The 3,569-nt window shown below is 37.0% G+C and overlaps 1 annotated feature.

Annotated features, from left to right (window-relative positions):
• Positions 215-969: an enhancer, noted in NCBI's record as "OCT4-NANOG hESC enhancer chr4:164336685-164337439 (GRCh37/hg19 assembly coordinates)". NCBI's record gives its function as "activates a minimal SCP1, AML or CMV promoter by ChIP-STARR-seq in naive and primed H9 embryonic stem cells {active_cell/tissue: H9 hESC(naive and primed)}" and the evidence as "EXISTENCE:reporter gene assay evidence [ECO:0000049][PMID:30033119]".

Consider the following 3,569-nt stretch of genomic DNA (forward strand, 5'->3'; position numbering starts at 1 on the left):
AGATTTTGGGCTGTGGACTTTTGGGTTAATGCAGAAATGAGTTAAGATTCTGGGGGACTGTTGGGAAGGCAATGATTGGTTTTGAAATGTGAGGACATGAGATTTGGAGGGGCCAGGGGTAGAATGATATAGTTTGGCTCTGTGTCCCCACCCAAATTTCATCTTAACTTGTACACCCATAATTGCCACGTGTTGTGAGAGGGACCTGGTGGGAGATAATTTGAATCTTGGGAGCGGTTTCCCCCATACTGTTCTCATGATAATGAAAATGTCTCACGAGATCTGATAGTTTCATCAGGGGTTTCCACTTTTGCATCTTCCTCATTTTCTCTTGTGGCTGCCATGTAAGAAGTGCCTTTTGCCTCCCACCATGGTTCTGAGACTTCCCCAGCCATATGGAACTGTAAGTCCAATTAAACCTCTTTTTCTTCCCATTGTTGGGTATGTCTTTATCAGCTGTGTGAAAACGGACTAATACAGGAGGAAACCACAAATTTATCTCCCCAGGGAGTTTGGGGCTAGGGATTTAAAAGGTTTTGGAGGGGATTGAAATGCAGAGATTGTTAATTGGTCAAAGAATGCAGAGGGAAGTCATGGGACAGGGAGATGAAGAAGTTATATTCTCATGCTGATTCCGTTCCTCTGTAAGAGTCTTTAAACTGGTAGGCATTAGCTATTTTGCCGAAATTTGGGATCCACAAAAACACCTTTAGCAATCCATAAACAAAATCTTATGATTCTAATGTCAAAGATCCTGTCTGTAAGAACAATGTGAATGCAAATCAATTCTTAAATGGTCTTATGATCCTATTGTCAGCAATCCTACCTATGGGAACAATCAGTATCTAGTGCTACGTGACTTCAGCAAGAAGGAAGTGGGCGAAAGTGCAGTCTGATTAATGTTTCATTATACCTATATTTCTGTGCAGAACCCGGTGTGCAATTCCTGTCAACCCTGTGAGGATTAATTGGCATGAACCAAAGTGTACATGGCTTATGTTCTCTAACTCCTAATAAATCATTGCATATTTTTAAAAAAATTGTTGCTTGCTTAAAATATGAATTTAATGTATATCTGGCAGAAAGAGATGCTGATTTACTTTGCTATTACTGTATTTGCTTGAGTATATCCGGCTATCTTTCAGGGAACACATGGATATATCTATTTCTTACTGTCTCCATGGCTAATACTCAAGTCCATGGAATCTCCATTATGTCTCATTATGAAGTCTGTAAATGTAACTGAACTGATTATCCCACTTCTACTTTTGTCACCCAAAGTGCATATGCACAGCAGCCATGGTGACATTTTATAAACCTAAATCGGGTCATGTCACTCCTCTGCTCAAAACTCTCCAGTTCCATCATACTCAGATTAAAATTCAAACTATTTACTTTAGCCTATAGAATCCTGCATATATTTCAACCACATCATTGTGTAAACCTGCCCAGTCCTCTTGCAACTTTCTACCTGATACATGTGTGCATATATATGCGTACATGAATGCATACATACATACACACATACATATACTCCTCAAAATCAGTTATTAGTCTCAGTTCAAGATACAGAAATTAGAAAATTAAATAAATGATTAGATATCTAAAATGGTTTTGTGGTCTTAGAAACTTTACCAACAGAGAAAAGGCTTATGTAGATGTAATTAATTCATTTAGCTAAAATGTGTTGGTAAAGTACCAGTAATATAGATTTCCTATTGTTATTTATTAAAAAAAAAAGTGACATCACTACAGAGTTATATGGGGGCAGTGATGGCCATATGCCTCCTTGAGCCTCTTTAGATACCTTATCACTAGAATGTCAATAGCTAGAATGTTATTTTATAGTTAATTTCTAAAGTGTTTCTTAGTGATTGTCACTCATGTAAAACTTGTGGGTAAAATGCATCTATTTTGTTTGGTTTGTTTGGTTTTACCTATTGTAACCTGAAGCATATTTCCTTGCTGGCAAAATATACTGGGCATGGTTAGAAGAAATTCTGAAAAGGACTGTTTGATGCATTTGGAAGTCTTTCCCAAAATTTTACAAACACTCCAAATTGTTTGCCTTAGTGTAATCAAGTATCTTTTAAATAAATAATCTATAAAGTGGAGTTTATGCTAGTTAGATTTGCTTCAATAATAATGGGACATAAACACATTTTAGATCTCAGTAAAGTTACTTCCTCCATTAACCTTTTCCTCAGTCCTCCAAATTGCATGCTGCAATTTTCAAATAGTAACATTTTATTGTAACTGTGTATTTAGTTTGTCTCTCCCAATAGGTTGAAAACTTCCAGAGGTCAACAACTATGTCTTGGTCGGGCGCAGTGGCTCACGCTTGTAATCCTAGCACTTTGGGAGGCCAAGTGGGTGGATCACGAGGTCAGGAGATTGAGACCATCCTGTTTAACACAGTGAAGCCCTGTCTCTACTAAAAATACAAAAAATTAGCCAGGTGTGGTCACATGCCTGTAGTCCCAACTACTCGGGAGACTAAGGCAGGAGAATTGCTTGAACCTGGGAGGTGGAGGTTGCAATGAGCCGAGATCGTGCCACTGCACTCCAGCCTGGGTGACAGAGGGAGACTCCATCTCAAAAAAGAAAAAAAAAAAAGAACTGTTTCTTATTAGTGGTTGTATAGTGCTTAGCTAAATACTTAAACATGATGGGTGATTAAGGTGAATGATTTAACAAGTAACAGGATATACATTAAAAAACTGGCATTCTACATGCCATTGGCAATGGTAACATAAAGACTATAAGGTCTGTATCTTTTCTATCACAGATCTCAGCGACCTTTCCTTCCCTCAATATCTGATGAGCAACTTCTGTCTATTCACTTAGTGATTTATTTTTAATTAACTCTTTGTGGTCTAGAGTCCTTAATAGACTGTAAATTTGGGGGAAGAGGAATCTTATTTTGTCTTGTATTTGTTTATATCTTGTAAAGCAACCTTCTCTAATGAACATTATATATAATTGCTTTTCAATATCAATAAATATCAGGGTGATTGCTAGGTTGAATGGGCACTAACCATGCAAACCTGATTCAGGACAAAGAATAGTCTCAGACAGAGTTTAGAGAGTAGCAAGAAAGCAAACGGGCAGCTATTAGAGCTTTTATTTGAAACATCTCCTGAAAATAGAGAACTAAGGCCATTTTCAACAGCATCCAAGGTTCAAACCCCATGGCCAGTGAATTAGCTAGAAAATTCCAGCCTAAATTCAGATTTTCCCTTCATGTATTGATTTATTTTGTTTGCAGGCTTAGCTTTATTCAGGAAAAAAATGTGGGTGTTTTATATAGGAATTTTCACTAAATAGGTGTGTAAACAGTGAAATGACTTGATCTGTTATTTATTGCATATAATTGCATACCATTCACTAAAAACACAATACCAACAGTGTGGTAAAGGGGTTAAAATCAGGAAAACATTTGCTTTTTAAAAATGAACATGAAAACCTAGGAAAATTATTCCTGGTATGAAGCACGTTTTTGAAGTACAGATTTTTGTCCCATGAAAAGCTGATTCATTTCCATTACCATGATGAGCTAAGGGGAACAT

The sequence above is a fragment of the Homo sapiens genome, chromosome 4 (assembly GCF_000001405.40).
Source record: "Homo sapiens chromosome 4, GRCh38.p14 Primary Assembly".
NCBI lineage: Eukaryota > Metazoa > Chordata > Mammalia > Primates > Hominidae > Homo > Homo sapiens.